Here is a 1,703-nt window from a genome sequence, read left to right on the forward strand (position 1 = left end):
ATGATTTATAGTCCTTTGGGTATATACCCAGTAATGGGATGGCTGGGTCAAATGGTATTTCCAGTTCTAGATCCCTGAGGAATCGCCACACTGACTTCCACAATGGTTGAACTAGTTTACAGTCCCACCAACAGTGTAAAAGTGTTCCTATTTCTCCACATCCTCTCCAGCACCTGTTGTTTCCTGACTTTTTAATGATTGCCATTCTAACTGGTGTGAGATGGTATCTCATTGTGGTTTTGATTTGCATTTCTCTGATGGCCAGTGATGATGAGTATTTTTTCATGTGTTTTTTTGCTCATGGGTAGGAAGGATCAATATCGTGAAAATGGCCATACTGCCCAAGGTAATTTACAGATTCAATGCCATCCCCATCAAGCTACCAATGCCTTTCTTCACAGAATTGGAAAAAACTACTTTAAAGTTCATATGGAACCAAAAAAGAGCCCGCATTGCCAAGTCAATCCTAAGCCAAAAGAACAAAGCTGGAGGCATCACACTACCTGACTTCAAACTATACTACAAGGCTACAGTAACCAAAACAGCATGGTACTGGTACCAAAACAGAGATATAGATCAATGGAACAGAACAGAGCCCTCAGAAGTAACGCCGCATATCTACAACTATCTGATCTTTGACAAACCTGAGAAAAACAAGCAATGGGGAAAGGATTCCTTATTTAATAAATGGTGCTGGGAAAACTGGCTAGCCATATGTAGAAAGCTGAAACTGGGTCCCTTCCTTACACCTTATACAAAAATCAATTCAAGATGGATTAAAGACTTAAACATTAGACCTAAAACCATAAAAACCCTAGAAGAAAACCTAGGCATTACCATTCAGGACATAGGCATGGGCAAGGACTTCATGTCTAAAACACCAAAAGCAATGGCAACAAAAGACAAAATTGACAAATGGGATCTAATTAAAGAGCTTCTGCACAGCAAAAGAAACTACCATCAGAGTGAACAGGCAACCTATAAAATGGGAGAAAATTTTCGCAACCTACTCATCTGACAAAGGGCTAATATCCAGAATCTACAATGAACTCAAACAAATTTACAAGAAAAAAACAAACAACCCCATCAAAAAGTGGGCGAAGGACATGAACAGACACTTCTCAAAAGAAGACATTTATGCAGCCAAAATGCAGTCTTAAAGGCCCCCGGGCAGAAACCACAGCCCACACCAAGGAGTAAAATGGAACCTCACTTACCATTTCCTGAAGGAGCAAGTATTAGTTATTTCAAGTGAAAACTAGTGCCTGAAACTGTTCTCTTCCAATATAGTTAGTTACATAGTCCCCCAAATAGAACAACTATGAAGCAAAAATCTAAGTAGTTATTTCATTAAAAACCACCTGGGCCAGAAGCGGTGGCTCATGCCTGTAATCCATGCACTTTGGGAGGCCGAGGCGGGTGGATCATGAGGTCAGGAGATCGAGACCATCCTGGCTAACACGGTGAAACCCTGTCTCTACTAAAAATACAAAATAAAAAAAAAAAAATTAGTCGGGTGTGGTCACGGGCGCCTGTAGTTTCAGCTACTTGGGAGGCTGAGGCAGGAGAGTGGCGTGAACCCGGGAGGTGAAGCTTGCAGTGAGCTGAGATCCCGCCACTGCACTCCAGCCTGGGTGACAGAGCGAGATTCCGTCTCAAACAAAAACAAAAACAAACTAACAAAAACCACTTGGACTATCATA

The sequence above is a fragment of the Homo sapiens genome, chromosome 11 (genome assembly GCF_000001405.40).
Source record: "Homo sapiens chromosome 11, GRCh38.p14 Primary Assembly".
Taxonomy (NCBI): Eukaryota; Metazoa; Chordata; class Mammalia; order Primates; family Hominidae; genus Homo; species Homo sapiens.